Source organism: Homo sapiens, chromosome 5, assembly GCF_000001405.40.
Source record: "Homo sapiens chromosome 5, GRCh38.p14 Primary Assembly".
Taxonomy (NCBI): domain Eukaryota; kingdom Metazoa; phylum Chordata; class Mammalia; order Primates; family Hominidae; genus Homo; species Homo sapiens.
Window position 1 is genome coordinate 118,187,019 of NC_000005.10, and position 20,567 is coordinate 118,207,585.

General features: G+C 34.4%; 2 long non-coding RNA genes across 2 annotated transcripts in view; both read left to right on the forward strand.

Annotated features, from left to right (window-relative positions):
* The window catches only part of LINC02147 (long intergenic non-protein coding RNA 2147), a 535,702-nt gene that overhangs the window by 456,658 nt on the left and 58,477 nt on the right, over positions 1 to 20,567 (forward strand). The gene's annotated exons all lie outside the window — the stretch shown is intronic.
* On the forward strand, positions 451 to 19,957 carry LOC124901051 (uncharacterized). Its single transcript, XR_007058910.1, has 2 exons — positions 451 to 573; positions 19,702 to 19,957. It is a non-coding gene; the product is annotated as an uncharacterized LOC124901051 (long non-coding RNA).

Sequence of the window (20,567 nt, forward strand, 5' to 3'; positions counted from 1 at the left end):
CTCTCACTAAGTATATTCTTCATAAAAATGTTAATTTATTAATTTTTTTAACATGGTGGGGTGATATGTTCCTGATTGGGATAAACAGAAGGCACAAGTATGAATAAGATGTTAGCACATACCAAAATTTTTCATTAATAGAAATAATTTTAAAAATATTACAGAAGGGGGAAAATATGACAGTTATAAATAATTTCTTTAAAAAATTTTAAATATAATTAACATACTGATTTTCAGACCAGTTTTAGGATTACAGAAATGTAAGTGGAAAATATAGCATTTCTATATTCTTACATTCTCTCCTCCCACCATCCCACTTTCCCCTATTTTAACATTTACATTAGTGTAGTACATGTGTTAACAATAGATGAGCCTATATTGATACATTATTGTTAGCCAAAACCATTAGTTTACATATTTCACTATTTGTGTTGTACGTTCTACAGGTTTTGGCAAACGTCTAATGACACAGAGCCACCATTGCCAATTTCACCACTGTCTTTCACCAAGTTGATTCATTTTGAACTGGCTCCAGCAATCTACTCAGAGTTGACCTCAGAGCAAAAAATTGAAGTGGGTAATACATTAAATCTTTTCTCTCCTCACTCTCTACCTGAAGTACCCAGTGCCCTCTCATGGCCACAGGCTCTGCAGTCATAGATAGCATTTTTTCAGGAACAGAAAGAAAATTGTGATTCTTAGCATCCCTCTATGTCTCTCTTCTCAGGAAAGGTTGCATTAGAAACTGTTGTCTCGTGAGCTGGCCATTGAAGCCCGAGGCATGGACTGTTTACAGCATTGTTACAGGTATCTGAATTAGAAGATGGCTTGGCCCTTAGATTTGGATTTGCAAAGTATAGCTCTTTAGCAGTGAACATGCTCTGTTAACTGTCCTGTTAAGATGGTTATTTTCTTTTAATAGGCTTTAAAAACAACTAGAATCCTATTTCTTTCAATAGAGATTTATCAGTACCCTAGATGAATTCCTACTCACCAATTTTTCTCTATAGATTTGGTCCATTGTAGGACCTTGGAAGGTTTGTGTTTTTTTTTAACTATTTACTGTTCAGTTATCTTTGAAGTTTGTGTTAAAAATACACGGTTGGTGGGAATGTAAATCAGTACAACCGCTATGGAAAACAATATGGTGATTTCTCAAAAAACTAAAAATAAAATTACCATATGGACCATCAATTCCACTACAGGGTATTTATCTAAAGGAAAAGAAATCAGTATATCAAAAAGGTATGTTCAGCTCCATGTTTATCATAGCACTATTCACTATCGCAAAGATATGGAATCAACTTAAGTGTCCACCAATGGACAAAAGAATAAAGAGAATGTGATACAAATACACAATGGAATACTATTAAACCTTAAAAAATAATAAAATCCTGTCATTAGCAGCAGCATGACTGAAACTGTCATTATGTTAAGTGAAATAATCCAGGCACAGAAAGGCAAATATTGCATGTTGTTACTCATATGTGGGAGCTAAAAACGTGGACTTCATAAAGGTAGAGAGTAGAATCATAGGTATACCAAAGGCTGGGAAGGCTACAGGGAGGACAGTGATGAAGACAGATTGGTTAATGGGTACAAACACACAGATAGATAGAAAGAATAATTTCTAATGTTTGATAGCTGAGTCGGATGACTATAGTTAACAGTAATATATATTTCAAAATAGCTAGGAGAGAGGACTTGAAATGGTTGCAACACGTAGAAATGATAAATACTCAAGGTGACGAACAACCTAAATACCCTGACTTGATCATTACCCATTTTATGCATGTGAGAAAATATCACATGTACCCCACAAATAAGTATTATGTATCAATAAAAGGGATATATTATAAACTCAGATCACCTGGCATAGGATCTACCAAATATGTACAAGTTTAGCAAATACAAATTTGTCATGGGCAAAAAAAAAGAGAATGAAACAAATCACTTATTTGCCTAGAATGAGTAAAAGTAACCCAACAATATTATTGGAAAAATCTCATTCCTAAAAGTGAATCAGGTTTGGCATTTTTAATACAAAAACACAACAAAATTAAAATTTAACTAAGACCTGAGTTCCACTCCAGGCACCAAATTAAAGCAAAATATGGCACAGAGTAGTCTATAGACTTCAGCCTTTAATAAAAATAAAATCTTGACCCAGGTGATATAATTTAAATTAAATGGCTTTTTATAATTTAATTATACAACTTATATAAGGTTGCACATCCTTGAGATGTCAAAATGTGCCACCTTTTCCGCTAAAATTTCAGTGAGACATTAAGAATTGTGTTAAAAAAAAAAAAAAAAGCCTGCCTTCTAGAGTAAGCTGTACATTTTTTGAAGGGTGCTGTTTAAGAAAAATGTCTAATTTTTTTCATCTGGTTAATCAAACAGTGGGAAGTGTTGTCATGGATAATTGGGCTACTGAGTTTATCATTATAATTTGACATTTACATAGGTCTTTATACTTTCAAAATGTTATGCAACCATTTTTCTTGATTCCATCAATATTACCTTGAGAGGTAAATTAATTCTTCAATTTACATTTTACAAATGAGCACAAAGAAGGAAGGTGGGATGAAACAAGTCAGATGCAAAACTAAGATAAGAGCTTCTTGTCCTGGCAGGCCTAAGCCACTATTTTTTATCCCTTGAGGAAGCCTAAGCCTTTCTGTTTGAAATTTTTCAAAGAGAATTAAGCTGTCAAACACACGTTAACAACCAAGGCCTCTCATTTTCTAGCCCAGGTGGTCCAATTACAGATTTAGCCTAAAGTAGAATCAGATATAAAATAATATGGCAAGTCATGGTTGCTACAGTCTTAACTATCTTTTATTTTAAAACAGACTTCAAAGATTAAAAATAACATGTCTTTACTCATGGGTAAATTTTTCTTTCCAACTCTTCCTCCTCAGTCTTTTTCTGCTTTCTCTAGAACAATATTACCACTCTGCAGGGTCTATTTGCAACAATCCAGGAAGTTCTCTGGGTCTGCCCCAATGTTACAGAGAAGAAATGATGACCATAAAAATAGCACATAAACATGGGAATTAATAGGGTCAGTATTTGACATATGATTGAAAAACTTAATCAGAGGACAGAATTCACACATTTCAGCCTAAGTGTCTTTATGTATATGTCATCTTCTTCCTTTGATTGCTTGGCTTCAAACCACCCCATCACCATCACCCTCTGCTCATGATGAATGCCTACAGACAGAGCTAACACATGAGGTGGCAGTGTTCTCCCCGTTGATAATAGGGGCTGAAAGAAGCCAGTTCAACTCAGGATGTAAGGATGCCACTCAAAGTACTAAATGTTCATTTATACAGTCCATCTGAATGATGGATTTTCAGCATTGAAGGGATCCTAAAAGAATTCAGATATTTAAAATGGAATATTGAATTTTTTGGAGCTTCAGTAGGGCTAATGTAACTTTTTTTTAAAGGATAAGATGTATTGCAAAACATCTAGACTCAAATGATCTGGATCAAATCACAACTCCACAAAATTAAATTGGGTTAATTTATAATTAGGCTTTATGGCAATAACACGCTAGCTGGATAACTTGAAAATAAATAAAAAGAGCAAACTCAATCCTTCTGTAAATACTGTTACTCTTGGTAAATGGCATTTTATGTTAAGAGCTCAGAGTGTTAACAGTGGTGTCAAGAATAGGTCAAATTATTAAAGAAAAGTTAATTTCTCATTCTTGGAGAGGCGTACCTTCCTCCAAGTGCAGAATTAGAAACTTCATCAATCTAAAATAAACGGACTTACAAATATTGTTTATGTGCTTGGAATGGCACCAAAGTAGTTAAGTAAAATGTAATTTGAAATTTGGCAGTACATATATAAGTAAGTATGTGGATGAGTGTATACGTGTGCACTCTCAGAGTTAGCTCTTTTAAAATTAATTTTATTGTTGAAGTTGTATATTGATCCTCAAGTTGGAAGACAAATAAATACACAAACAAAAAGATGTAATAGGGCATAAAATTTGAAATTAACACTTTTGTATTTATTGAGTTTATTCTCAATGTCTCTGGAAAAAAATAATTATGAGTGTTATATTGACACTGTAGGTATTCTATATATATTTGTGAAATAAATTATACATGTATATATCAAATGTGCTTATATATTTAAATGGAATTTATTAAATTTCATCTTCAATGAATATATTTTTTATAATTAATTATGAAACATTGTTCTAAACAGCAAAGTCCCAGATGCCAAACCTACATTGTTATTCATTCTGCATCCGTCTACTAATTCACACCTGGCATTCTAGTTTCAAAATCTTCTCTTACCATTTTTGTTGAGAATTATAAAAACAATTTTAAAAGGATAATATTCATTCTGATATATAACTTCTGTAATTTTATTATTTCTATCTTAAGGATCACATGGATTTTGTTTTACAATTGAACTCCCCCTTCCTATTAAAATAAAGAAACAAAAACAACGCTTTTCAGCACTCTTAGCACACTTTCTTGCTCACTAAATTGACTAATTAGAAAGTGTTGTATCCCATCTATTCCTAAAATTTTGACATTAATAAATTATCCATAACTTGTGTTTTGAATGGCAAAGTTGTATTCAAAAGTAGAAAGACAGTCAGTATGCCAAGTCAGGTAATGAAGGTTGTATTTTATGGAGGCAGGACTCTGATTTTTACTAGCCTTTTCTAAGTACATTAACATTGTAAGCTGTATTTTTTAAAACATCTGTAAATTATAAAAGTGTTGCTATAAGAGTGTGTGTCTATAGTTGTATGCCTAAAAGGCTGGAGAACATACTGGTGAATACCATCTCTGTAGAAAGGCCAAAAGGATGCCCTTGAAATTCATTTTAACTCCTTCAAAATGACCTGAACCACAAGTCAGGAATGAAAATCAATGCCTATTTACTTTCTATGCACCAAGTATTATGAAATTACAAAAGCAATATAAAATGGCTGCCAGTTTGTCATTTTCTTTTTTAAAAAATCTTATCACTGTTTGAAACTACTTACATAATATATCAAAGAAACAAAATAAGAGTAATTATACAAACATTTAAAATTAAGTGTTCCTAAAGGTGAATATTGATGCACAGAAATTGGCATGTTTACAAATGAATTCTACCACAAATTCTACCAGCTCTCTTTAGTGTTTTCCCTCACACCATACCCCAATACGATGATTCTAGTTCCAGATCCCAGCTACCTTATAAATCATGTCTGAACATAAGAAAAGGATGAAATCTCCTATACTCCTTTAATTTCTCCCCAAGTAGACCTTATTATATCCGGCCCTTCTTTAAGCTCAAAATAACATTGCTGATACAACTAATGATGTTGCATTGTTCATCTCAAAAGATTCTCTTTGCCTCAGTGTCTTTAATGATATAATAAAAATAACATTTAAGACATAAAAGCCCATAATCATAGAAAGAATCATAAATAACCTTAGAGATTACTAAGTCTAGAGTGGCAGTTCTCAATCAATTTTTTTTCATTATCACCTTCCAAGGAGAATTTTCAAGCGTTGTTATCCTAGTCAACCCTTCCCTCATGAAATTTAAATATCACAACTACACTCTATATCTGTTTATCTACTCTCTATATATCTAATCTATGTGCTTTATACATTAAATGTGTAGGGGCTTTTTTGGTTCCCCTCAGAAAAAATTTATGCCACATTGGGATAATATCATCTTTGTGGTGAATGTGTTTTTCAGTTAAGGAAACATGGCTGAAATAGAGCTAGTAAAATAATAAGATACATCTATCACAATGGTATTAGTCAATTACAGTGGGGCAAGAGTTGTCCCAACTACCTTTGACAATCACCAGTGAGATATTGAATATTTTATTGCTAGAAGTGAATCTGAGGAAGCAATGATACCACTATTAAGTATAATTTTTTCCTCCTGGTCTTTTTTTTGTTATTTCTCTTCTGTTGATTATGTGGATACCACTCCATTTTTATACTAATAATTCTAAAAGTACATGTTACTTCTTTCTCAAATCATTTATGACTTCTACTTTTTCCATTCAACTTTTCTGTTTATCGCACTATTTCACAGCATCTTCTACCAATAACAAAGCAGCTTAAGGATACAGTGTGTAAGAATATATGCACACATGCATAACACATATATAATACATATGTAAACACATGCAAACCTATTATTCAAAAGTGGAGAAAAGGCTAAATATTGTAGTACACATTCTTCACTGCTAATGACCAGAGGCCAACATGTGATATGACAGATCGTAGAGGTTGTTCATGATGACATTTAAACATTCCAGTTTTTCATCTGATCATGACAAATTTCTGACTAATGTAGTTCCTTTTAGTGAAGCTTAAGTCATAGTGTGGAACCAAACCATTTAATATAACAATATTTGACAACGTAATAGTGAGAGGTTCAGAAGCACAATCAATAAAAATAGATCCTAGGCCACAGCAAAAGGCAATCAAATACTGTCAAAAGAAGGTAGCTGACTCAGCTCCTAATTAATCAAATGAATCACTTAAACCCCATGGAAATAATGGCAAAAAAGAATCTCAGAAATTCTGCACTAGCTGAAGTATTTTTTTTCTTTTTTTTTTGATGTCTGTTGGTCTTTTTTGTTCCCAAAAAGGACAATCCTGGCAGGACTTAAATTTCATGATTAGGTTTGTATCACAGAGGTTTTTTTGTAGTTTTATGAAAGGAATGTGGAGACAGAATCTGGGTCCTTGCCCTAGCTTTGATCATTACTGGTTCTCTTTTTCTTGGAAAGTTCCTGAACCTCTCTGATTCACTCTTGCATTATGCATAGGTTATTGTGAGGTCAAATAAGATAATGAATATGAGTTATAAAAGCTGCTAGGTTTCATAGGAAGTCCTATTTTATCATCATTGCTATCTTCCTAGGAAGGTAGGAAGTGACTACCTTCCTATTATTTCCTATTTCAAATACATATCAAGCAAGATTTTGTTTTGCATTTAGTTTCAATGGGACAGTAGTAAACTATAAACAAAATATCATTCCAGGAACATTACCTTAATGTCTTGATGACATTGATGTCCAAAAGTTACCGACAGTGAACAGTGAGTTCCATGAAAAGAATTCTGAGTGTTGATCACATTCATGTTCACTAACATAGTTGTCAGGCTTTCCCCCATATATCCCAGGCTTCACTTTCTCAGTTTTTCTTCTACTGAATAATCATTATGTGTGTCACATGGTTCTAAACACTGAACCAGGTGGTAGTAATGAAGAACTGACCATCAGGGACTCAAGTTGGAGAAAATACTGCAGATAGTGGAATAGAGGCTCAAGTGTAATTCCTACTCCCGTCCCTTTAAAAAAAAAATGAGAGAGAGAGAGAGAGAAAAACTGTCCCTTACATTATTTTGGCCAGAACTAGTGATCACAACACCCCTTTTAAATTTCCTTAGTGCTCAGATCACATTCTACCTTATGTTATAGCTCTTTGTGGGTGCATTATACGTCTATTATCACTCTCCCCAATAGATTGGAAGCTCCTAAAGATTAGTGATTACATGTTAGTCATTTTCCTATCCTGAAAATAACAGGAAGTATTGTAGCATATAATACACACTGACAAATGTTTGCTAAGTTAAAATGAACAGAGAGGACACAATTTGAGCTTAAAATTTGCACTTTTTAAAACGTTATAATTTGCGATCATGACATTCTTTCTATATTATAGTGTATATTTAAAATTCCCTTATGTACTAGTTTAAAATATAATCTGAATATGAGAGGGAGAGGAAGAGGGAGAGAGGGAAAGAGAGAAGATAGAGGACTCTGAAATATGGTTCTAATGAAAAAGGGAAGAAAACAGTAAATTATTAGAAAGCCCCATTAGAATTTATCATGGTAAATTCTACTCCTAACCTTTACCTCAGCCTCTCATTTGTAACACTATTGATCTTCTGAGCAGTTTGTTTTAAAGCATGTTTCTGAAGGTTAAATTGGACTGAACAAGTGAATTTCTGCCTTTTAAGATGACAAACTACATACCTGCTCCTTGAGGAGAGAGTTAAGAGAGAGCTAATACAAATTTCAACACAATTATTATCTGACTTGCCTTTTAGCTGACCAAGACTCTGCCTCATCCAAATTAGGTTCAATGTTAGTCTTGCTTTTGATTGTGAAATTATTTCCTATTTTCTTAATTGTTCCAATTTATTAATTGCTAGTCAGCAAAAGACTTCCATGTAACCAAATGTGTGTGTTTCACGTGGAGGAGCTAGAGGTGAGACAGGCTTGAGCCTCTGATAGCAGTGCTCTTCACTAGTCTTTTCTAGTCATGAGCTCCAAATCAATAGACTGAAGAGCTGTTTCTAGTGACCCAGATCAGAAGTGAAAGTTGGAGCTTCTTTTGGCTGAGAGTGCCCGACAGTAATTCATGCATTGTAAACACAGTCTGTCGAGTTGTCCCATGCCTCAGCAGTTTACAGGGAGTACAGATTATTAAAATAGAGTTGGGGCTCGGTTTTTGCTTATGCTTCTGTCATGGTCTGTTGCTATTGATTTTTTAGGAGGCACAGACTCTGTGTCTGTCCACCCAAGGGATACTTTTGGTGCATGGTTGAGCTCTATGAAAAAATGATCTTATTTGTTTATGCCAGTTTTTCTCTAAAGTATGTTTTATATTTTTGCTTGATGTCCAATAAATTTGTTGTTATGCACTCATTTTTACATGTATTAAAAATATATAACCAGCACATCAGAACCACAGTTTGTTATATCTCATTTCTCAAAATAAAGCAAATAATATTTAGAAATATAAGAGTTGTGCCAGTGATGTAAGTATTATAAATTCGGGAAAACACTGCTTTATACCCAAACTTGATGCCTTACAAACAGGAAGTAGGTAAGCCACCTAGATTGAGTAGTTATTTCATTTAGTCCTGTCATTCCACTTTCTGATATAACAAGGCAAAGTATTATAGGTAAGTATGATCAAGATAAATATGTATAAAATCTTCAAAATGAAAATTTTTAGAATATTAATCAGCTCAAGTGACCTGTGGATTTAGATTCAGCAAAAGTCAAATCATTTCCCCTAAAGCATAACTGCATGCAGTAAAAAAAAAAAAAAAAAAAAAAAAAAAGGATACAACATAATTAACCTATATACAATTTTAAGTTTTGTTCCTAGGCATCAGCAGCATAAAGAAGCACAAATAATCTTACTCTGGTTTATCAAAAATGGAAACAAATTTCCAGGAGGTATTTTTCTGAATCCGACTCAAATGAGTGGATATGTTGCTGAACAAGTAGCTATATTTTAATTTAATTCCTGACACCGATTTCCAAAGAAAAGAGGGCAAGAGCTCATTGCCCTACTTTGGGTCTCTTCCCATGGCTTTCCACTGCCCTGAGAATAAAGCTGACTGCCACACCATAGAATAGAGAGCTCATCATGATCTAACTCCTACCTAATGTGTCAGGTTCATTCTTCCCATCTTCTTTATTTGCTAGGATTCACACACCTGAAGTTTTTGTGATTCTGGACTAAATTCCTTCTTTTTGTAGAAACTTTTTGCATATTCTGTTTGTCAGTAACACTCTTTCCCAATCTCTTTACATATCTATTACCTTCTCACTTTAAGGTATCTGCCTAAATCCATCTTCTCAAAGAGCCTTCTCTAACCATGCTGTTTTTAAGCAGATAGCTTCACTCTGTCTCATACTTTCTCTCTGCTTTTCATTTATTTCTTTCACAAGAAATAGTAATTGACTATTAATTTCTTTTGTTATGTGTGTGTATACGTGTGTTTCAGTCTCTTTTTTCCTTGAATAGAAAGTTGATTAGGACAAGGACTACTATCTTATTCACCAATTTTTCCCTTAGCATCCTGCATAGAGCCTGCACACAGTTTAAGTCTTATTAAATATTTTTGAACAGCTTAATGAAAGTATATCTTACTGGTGATTTCATTTTAATTATTTTGAAGACTCAAATCATCCTAGGTTTTTTGAATAAATTCCATTTTCATCACAGTATTAAAAACATAAAATAGGACAAATTAGACTTTATCTTTTTAAAATTGTTCCTACAAAACTAAACTCAAGGCATGATTTTCAGCTCTCGGGTTCTGCAACCTCAGCTTTGCATTGGGAAGGTATGATGAATCTCTCTCTTAAACACAAAGTCATACCAATTTAAAACCCTAAACTCAGGGGTGTCAGGAGCCATCCTGCTCTTTATAGTCTTAACAGTACAGTTTTTCTTTCTGCAATGTGTTTTTTGATAAATTATCCAACTAGTAACTAACCAGTCCTTTCATCAGTTTTCTTTGTTGAAATCTATTTTTCTCTTTGACATTTAAGTTTTTCTATCTTCCTCGTGTCATTTTTCCATCTATCATTTTCTCTTTCATTTTCCTCAAGAAATGAGTCAGTTGGAGAGTATTTTTTACCCTTGTCTTCTATCAGATGTGAAGGAAAACCTGTTTATTGACTTATTTGTTTCATTTCCAATTATGTGTTTTCAATTACAAAGCGTAACTTTTAAATGAAAATATTTTCTTTCTTCACAAAGCCATATCATTCCAACTATCTTCTTTTTATAAACTAATTGGTTAATCAATTCAACAAGAATTTTTTCAACACCTACAACATGATTGATATTGTCTAGGCTCTGGGGAACAGCAGGAAATAAAATATTAAGTCCCTGCTTGAATAGACTTCCAGCGGGGCAGGAACCTGCTGATTAAAACATATGTTCCTGTGCATGCATACATGTGTAAATACACACCCACACACCCCCACACACATACACACACTTGTCTTACCTGCTGAAATGTGGAGAGTCTATAGAAGGGAAAGGAGAGAATACAAATTGGGAGACAATCCCGCAGTACTTGCCACAACATTTTTACTGCATTGTATTAACTTTACCCAGGAAATGAAAAAAATGTAAAACTTCTCAAATAATTAATAATATACTATGTAATCTCTAGGTTGCAGGAACACATAATCCAGTTGGGTAGAAGAGCCAAACAGTAAAGCTAGATTTCCTCACCTCTCTCTCCAACTTCAATTTCAACTAGTATATGGACTTCATGCTCCAAGCATTGACATTTTTCTGAAGATATCATGTCATTTCACCATCTCATGTTTTTGCAAATGCTGTTCCAACTTCATAACGTTCCATTTCCACATTTCTATCTGCAAAATTTTCTTCATCCCTCAAGACCAAAGTAAAGTGATAATACCTAATACAGACCTTGGTTCACAAAGATACTCAATAAATGGTGCTGAATGAATGAGTTTAGAAACAAAGATAAAGCTGATATGATTCTACATCAATGATGCAAATGCATAAATCCTGGTAGGTTCAAAGTGAGAGAGAGGGCTCAGAATCAGCAATCATGATGGAGAGGTACCATTATTAAAAATTGAACAAAGTTTTTTTGAGTGGCAGAAAGAGAATGAAAGCTATTTTAAAGGAATAACACAAACAATTTGGAAGCATATGACATATTTATTTCCTTCATACTTAATATTTGTATTCTGCCTAACACTCATGATTACATTACAATAAAAAATTTTCATTTGTACTGAAATGTCATTTATGCCACTATGATATATTTATTAAGAAATGATCTGATGCATAAGGTTGGTGACCTTTGTTTGCTCGAAGAAAAAACATTTGTTTCCTTCACAATTAAGTGGATTTTCCAGATCAAAGTCTCCTGATACATTGTTGATAAGTTCATTTCTAACTCTGTTAACATTTAACACCCATCCTGGATATTTATAAAACAAAAATAAATTTAAAATATTAATATTTTACATTAACAACAAAGTCCATTTGGAATAAACTTGTCTCCCAAGACCATTAGTCTAAAATGTTGAGGATGTCAATATTTACATAGCATACTAACAATGACATGAATAATTTAGAACAGAAATAATAAAGTCAAAAAGTTACCTGAGTCATGTCAAGGTAAAAGTTTATGAAAATGAGACAAATTGATAACTGCATTGGATTGATGTGTTCTACAGTTCAGAAAACATTCCTTTATTAATAAAGTTCATTTTTTCTATTCCAAACATTCTCTGCATAGCTTTGTGATAGTTCCATATTTTCCACTAATGTGGAAAATGCCAGTCCAAGCCAGAGATTTCTTGCTGTAAGGTTAGGAGACCTAATCTTAGCCTTGGGATTGCCTCTGCCTGTAACTCCCTTACTGGAAGACTGAACATATTAGTGGGTCTGCTGAGCTTCTGCTTCATCCTCTACAATGTGAGGAGAGTACGGAGGGGAGTCATGATCTCTAGAGTCAGCTTGTGCAGCTCAGGAATTCTGTGAGTCTGTGAGTACTTTCACAAGCTCCTCTGGGTACCTAGGAGAGGATTCCCTTTTTGGAGGAATTTCTCTAAGGCTTGGTCAAGAGTGAATCTCCAGGCCTTGGACTGGTTACCTAAATCTCAGGTCAGCAAATCATTCAATGATAATTTTTATAAAAAGGTAATATCATGACTCACACAAATATAAAATGATCTCTTGCAAAATATTTTGTTTAACTGATTAACTACTGAGGGATCCAGTAAGATACTGATCTCACATCCATAGGTCAATCAGAATTCTGAAATGTATTTATTTTAAAAAGCAAAACTCTAGGGAAAAAAAACACATAAACTAGAGAATATATTTGCAGCACATTTTATGAATAAAGGGCTGGTTTTCTTGATATATAAATATCAATAACTAACAAAAGAACTAAAGAACTAAGAATGTAAGAGCCCTAGAAATGACTGAAACCTCTGATCTCTTCCATATGGAGTATCACATTAACCAAGGACAATTAAAGGTATTTCTAAAAGTACAGAACATAGGAGGCAAGTTTCATATAAAGCTATCCATATAAACCTATTTCACATAAAGACAACAAAAAATGAGAATCAAAAACATTTCAGCTGATGAAAACTCTCTGACTTTACCTGCTAGGGTCTGAATATTTTTGTCCCCCGCCATTCATATGTTAAACTTAATCCGCAATGTAATAGTGTTAAGGAGTGGAGCCTTTGGGAGGTAATTGGCCATAAGGACTATATCTTTTTATAAAAAGAGGTCTGAGTGAGTTTATTCACCCCTTCCAACATGTGAGGACACAAAGAAGGAGCCATCTATGACAAAATGGGCCCACACTAGACACCAAATATGCTAGTGTCTTGAGTTTGGACTTCCAAACCTCAAATAAATAAATAAAATTAAAAAAATAAAAAGCAAAACTCTCTTTTCATGAAGTAATAATTGCATTTCATCAAATGAGTTTCATTTGCATTTCTACAGATGAGAATTATTTGCATTTTTATGTTTTCTACAATGTACAGTTGTAAAACAGATCAAAAGCACTGAAAGGCGGATATAATGCAGAGGAACACATAAGATATAAAACTTAGTAATATTTTACTAGTATTGTTTACAGGCTTTCACAATTTTTCTCGACAGAGTTTGTTCAACTTAATTAGAAAACATTATCCTTTTTCTCCTAAGTTATTTAATAACCTTGCAACATTTAAGACATCTATTTCCTAACAATATAAATATCATTGAAAGTTTTAAATTTGGAGATATAAGGACTTTCATTTCATTTTTAAAAAGTTGTGTTTATTTTAGACGGAATCTTTTGTTCAAACAAAATGTCAATCACAGAAAGGTAGAGGTGACCTGGTTAAAGTTGGAGGTTTGAAGAATCAGTATCAGAGTCTCCTCAAGCTCTTTCCTTATTCCTGAGGTGGCTCCTACGTTTTAAAAATTATGTAAGTAAAGTTTTGTCTCATTTTGGAGTGAGACAGACATTAATTCAACCCCATTCTACTTAATTGTTATACAATCTTTGGCCATGTGTTTTGACTAACTTCTGTTTAGGATGTTAAGAGAATCATAATAATTGTGTCTTAATGTTGCTGTAAGAACATTAAGGTATTAGGTATTAGATATAAATATAGATACAGATAGATACATCCAAAAGGTGGAAACAACCCAAATGTCCATCCACAGATGAAAGGATAAACAAAATGTGGTGTATATATATTATGAAATATTATTCATCTCCTTAAAAATAAATGAAATTCCTCTCCATGCATGGCACAGATCAATCTTGAAAGTATTAAGCTGGCCAGGTGCCGTGGCTCATGCCTATAATCCCAGCACTTTGGGAGGCCGAGGCAGGTGGATCACGATGTCAGGAGATCGAGACCATCCTGGCTAACACGATGAAACCCCATCTCTACCAAAAAAATACAAAAAATTAGCCAGGCCTGGTGGCGGGTGCCTGTAGTCCCAGCTACTCAGGAGGCTGAGGCAGGAGAATGGCATGAACCCGGGAAGTGGAGCTTGCAGTGAGCCAAGATCATACCACTGTACTCCAGCCTGGGTGACAGAGAGAGACTCCATCTCAAAAAAAAAAAAAAAAAGTATTATGCTAAGTGAAATAAGCTAGATACAAAAGGACAAATATTGTATCGTTCTGCTTATATGATAAATATAAAACAGGCAAATTCATAGAGACAGAAAGCAGAAGGCCTGACGGGAGGGAAAATGGGGAGTTATTGTTTAATGGGCACAGAGTTTCTGTTTGGGATGATAAAAAAGTTCTGGAAATGGATACTGTGGGATGGTAGCACATCATTAATGTACTAAATGCCACTGACATGTACATTTAAAAATAGTTAAAATGGTAAGTTTTATGTATTATTTCACCACAATAGAAACAAACACAAAAAAATGTGCTATAGTGTCTAATCCTTACTCATAATAAGGAGTATATAAAAGTTATCTCATCATTATGATTGGTATTTTATTTTACTTCTTTAATATTTCATTTTACTTACTACTAACAATAAATTCACACTGCTAGTTAGTTATGAAACTAAATCTCTCCTTGTATCTAGATTTTCTGGCTCCTAATCTGATACTCTTAATGAGATCTCATATATTTAACTTTTTTTAGAGATCTCTTCTCTCTCAGATGCTTGGGCACATGACTTTATTCTAGCAATTCCTTACCTGGTATGCTTCCAACAAATCACAATTAGTAATGTAATTTTAAAATAACAATTACAATTTTTTGCACACATTGATAACTAATTTTTTGGTGATTACCAAGTGTCTATAGGAGTGTCTCAGTCAGGGTACTTATCTAATAATTATTTTTTAAATGAATAAACATATGTAAAATGTGAACACATAAATTCATCTCTCTTCCTTCCTGTAGTCCCATTGAAATGACATTATATAAACAGACAAATCATAAACCCACGAACTATTGGAAGGAAAAACATAAAAGAATAAGATGCCAACAAAATTTTTTAAACTGGACACCTGGCAATAGATTTAGGTGAGTCAGAAAAGACTAAAGCCTGTCTTGTAAAGGAGGAAGTAGAGTCTTGCCACACTGAAAAATCCCAAAAGGCTCAGGAAGTGGAAACATCAGATACCTCTAAAGACCAAGGGCCAAAGGGGAGCTGAAAACACGAGATAAATGTCTTTTAAAAAGAACAATTAGATGTACAGATTTCAAACTAGGCAAACAATGGACTCACCAACTCACAACAAGGCAAAATATGGTTAGTTAGCTTTCTGGAGTCTTAAGTCAGGGAAGAAACAGAACTTAGACTATTCATAGCTATAGGTAGGGTAATAAGCCATACTGAGCAGAAAGTTTAGGAATAAGGCTGCTTTCCAGTCTGTTTGCACAGAACTGTTTTTCATCATTTTGGAACCTCACAATTATAGGAAGTAGGCAAAGAACACCAGTTATATGAGGAATGACCCTTACATGAAAGTCTGAGAGGAAAACAAACAAACGAAAAACAGAGAAAACATAAAACGCAGAAAGACAGAGAATGTTTAAGAAGAAACTATGATTCTCAAAGAGACAAGAGAGGTATTGTGATTACAATATAAGAACACAGGTAAGATATTGCAATTACAAAATAAAAACAAGACTAGGGAGAAACTGGTTTCTCCCTGCTCATTCTCACATAGCGTAACTGTAAATCCTGGAAATAATGCAAGATACAACACAGGTGAATTCCAAAAGGTAGCAAGAAAGAAGAACTGATTTGGGAAGCCAAAACTGGAGGAACAACACAGCATCAGGGCATCCTATGTCTCCCTCCTCAACAGGAGATGATGACTCAAACGCAGCACTTCCAATTCCCAAACCTAGCAACAGAAAGCAGCCCACATAGGAAGATTCTTCCCCAGGAGAAGAGTATCTTTGACAAAATTGTCAGCCCTAAATCACCACAAGCAGGATTGATTGGACGCTCCACCCACAATGAGCTGCCAGGGAAAGTGATCTTCTTTTCCAATGAGCCTGAGACCCTCTTTTCTACCAAGAAATTGGAGGTAGGAGGTAGGAGGTAGGCAGGTAGAGCTGGAAGGAAGGACCAAGTCTCAACAAGTGAACTGGCCTTGAGAAGCCTCTTTGATCCCACAGGCCTGAGACTCCCCTCCTCTGACCAGAAACACTAGAACAGCCAAGGGATACCCATGAGAGGATACCACCACCCCCTCCACCCACAAGAGACACTCACATTCCCTCAGGCAGCACCAGCAGGGGTGAGTGGAAGCCCCACCTGCACCAGATAAACCAAGCAGACCAAAATAACATCGCAAAGGTTCTGAAAAACTGTCATTGGGACCATAGCCCAGAAAAATAGGCAGAGAGCTGTGTGCTAACCCTAAACAGGGTGACTACCTGGTAATATAAAAGATTTAAGTAGGACCCAGGGTCACATAATATAATAAATAAGTGTCCAGCATATAATCAAAAATCACCTGTCATATGAAGAACCAAGAAAAATCACAACTTGAATGAAAAATGACCATCAATGGATATTAACTTCATAGTAAATCAGATGTTGAAATTATCTAACAAGAATCTTAAAACAACTGTCATAAAAATAGTTCAGTAATCTGTTATAAATCTCTAGGAACTAATGAAAAAATAGAAAATCTCAGAAAATAATTAGAAGTTACAAAAAAGAACCAAATGCAATTTATAAACCTGAAAAAATGCACTAAAAAACACCAAACAGCTCACTGGATAGGCTCCATAGTAGAGTGGAGATGATGGAGGATACGATCCGTGAATCTGAAAACAGAACAGTGGAATTCACACAATCGGAAAAAGAACAGACTAAAAAAAATGCTCAAAAGAGCCTCAGGGACCTTTAAGACAATAATAAAAGATCAAAGCAATAGACATGTAGATCAACGAAACCCAGCAGAAAAACAATAGTCCCACACGAACATACCTTCTCATTTTACAAAAGTAGAGCCATTCAGTGGAGGAAGAATAACATTTTTACCAAATGCTGCTGGAACAACTGGACATCTGTAGACAAGTGCATGAACTTTGTCCCAAACCTCATCCTTTAAACAAAAATTAACTCAAAATGGACTATGTACATTTTATAGTTTTAAATATAAAACTGTAAAACATTTAGAAAAAATATAGAAGAAAATATTCAGTATCTAGAGCTAAGCAACAAGTTCTTAGAGTTGACACCAAATCGTAATCTGTAAAAAAGATTGATAACTTGGGCTTCATCATCTGCACTCAATAAGAAAAAAGTAATTCAATTAGCAGATGGGCAAAATACATGAAGATATTGCAATGAAGAATACATATAGACTGAAAAGAAGCACATGAAGATGTTCAGCTTTATAGTCATCAGGGAATTGCAAATTACAACCACAGCACTACATACCTCTATGGAAGACTAAAATAACAAATGGTGACAACACCAAATTCTGGTGAGGATGAAGAGAAACTGAATCAACACATACATTACTGGTGCAAACGTAAGAATGCAAGAAACAGTTTGAAAACAGTTCAGTAGTTTCTTTTAAAACTAAATAGGCAATCACCATGCAACCTAGCACCTGCACTCTTGGACAATTATATCAGAAAAATAAAACCTTACATTCACATAAAAATCTGTGTATGAATGTTCATAACAGCTTTATTTGTAACAGCTAAGAACTGGCATCAGCCCAGGTGCCATTCAACAGGTGAACAGTTAAGGACATGGTGGTCTATTCATACCATGGACTATTAGCAATAAAAAGGCATGAACTATGCACACAACAACTCCGATGAATCACAAAGGCATTATCCTTAGTGAACAAAGGAAGTCTTGGAAAACATACATATTGTATGATTATACTTAAGTAACATTTTTAAGAGATAAAAATTGTAGCAACATAGGTTAGAGAAGTAAGAGGATGTAAGTTTGGTTATAAAAGGGTAATATATGAGCCACCCTCGTGGTGATGAAACTTGACTGTGGTGGTAGAAACACAAACCTACACATATGATACAATTATGTAGAACCAAACACACACTCACATATGCACTCATACACAAGCACAATGAAAACTGGCTGAATTGGAATTAGTTTGGTGGATTATATCAATGTCAATGACTGTAATATTATACTATAGATTAATAAAATGTTACCATTAGTCCTAAATAATGTATGCACAACTTTCTGTATTTTTTCTTAAAACTGCATATGAATCTAAATTATTGCAATCAAAATTTTGAAATAAAAAGAACAGAAGGCTACATAAAAAGAACATTCAAAAACCAGAAAAATATCTAGAAAATTACAAATGAGATATTGGTAATTCAAATAAAAAATCAACAGAAAAGTTGAGGCAAAAATGGAAGGAAAAACGAATGATTCAGCAGCTCTTTCCAGGCAGTCAAACAAACAAATAATATAAAACCAGAAAAAGTGATCCGAGAAAATAAAGAGAGGAAATTATTAGATACAACAACAAACATTGCTAGCATTGAAGACTTCAGTCTCCAGAATAAACATTATATATAAATGCACAGAACAATGAATAAGAGAGACCAGCAACAAGGCACACCATTATAATTTTTCAGAAACACTAAAAATAAAGACAGGAGTCTGAAATAGTTTATGTGGAAAAAAAAAAACCCTAGGTCACATAAAAGATTAGTAATCAATATGACATTATAATTTTCATATAGAAGCTAAAATATGTAAAATAATAAAATCTCAAGACCCCAAACTTAACTATACCAAAAGGAAAGTTAAGGTGGGGAACTGAGTCATGGAAAAAAACAAAACAAAAACATAACTTCCTTTTGTTCCCGAATAGATAGATGTAACTTCACATGCTGACTTTAATCTTATGTAAAATTAGATTTACTGAGAAAGAGAAGTATACATAGTTGACTTCCTCCCACTTCCATCTTTTCACATGTAAAGTGTAAATTCACTGAGTGCTAATCAAAGCCTCACAGGAATGAAACCACTTGCCCCATTGCCTACCCTCCCCATTTTTTCTTTCTTCCCATTTTCCCCTTTAAATATTGAAGTTCTCAAAATCCACTTTGGAAAAAGCACAAGACACAAATCTTATGTGTCTTGTACTTCTTTTTCCCTGAGCACGTCCTCAACTTTGGCAACATAAACCTATAAATCAATTGAGATTTGCATTGGTCACTTAGTTTACAGAGACAATCAGGTAATTGCCTACAAAATTTCAAGGGGAAATGAAATGCAGTCTAGAATTCTACACTCAGCTAGACTACCATCAAATTAAGAATGGAATAGTAGAATTTTTAGACATTTATGCTCCCAAAAAATGTAACCTGCCCTGCAATCTTTTTTAGGAAGCTGCTAAAGAATGTGCTTGACTAAAACAAGGCAATAAGCAAAAGGAAGTCATAGCATCCAGAAAATGGGATCCATCATGCGCACAAAGAAAAGGTGAAGAAAATTTCCAGGATGTTCAGAACCCACCAAAAACGAAAGATTCTGGTCCAGATCAGAAGAGAGGGAAACACTCTGAAAAAGTCCCTCAAATACAAAATTAAACAGAGTTTAAATGATGTGCTTGACCACAATAAAAGGCTTCTTGCTCTGTAAGATTTCTGGAATTAATTAGTGATAAGCAAAGATAAATATAAGCAAATCATCACAACAGAGTGAACACATTCCAGTAGACCACATGGATGAGCTTTGGAAAATACAGATATACGCATAATGTAATCCCTTAATTTCTGGGAGGCTGGAGGGAGGGAAAGTTTGAGAAGGTAAAATGTGTGTGTTAAGAGTGGGAGTGGGTAATATGGTTAGGCTTTGTGTTCCCACACAAATCTCATCTGGAATTGTAATCCCCATAATCCCCACTTATCAAGGGAGAAACCAGGTGGAGATAACTGAATCATTGGAGGCAGTTTCCCCCATGCTATTCCTCTGATAGTGAATTCTCATGAGATCCAATGATTTTATAACGGACTCTTCCCCCTTCACTCAGCACCTCCCTTCCTACTGTGTCCGGAAATGGTGGGTTCTTGGTCTCACTGACTTCAAGAATGAAGCCGCGGACCCTCGCGGTGAATGTTACAGTTCTTAAAGGCAGCGTGTCCGGAGTTTGTTCCTTCTGATGTTCGGATGTGTTCAGAGTTTCTTCCTTCTGGTGGGTTCGTGGTCTCGCTGGCTCAGGAGTGAAGCTGCAGACCTTCCCGGTGAGTGT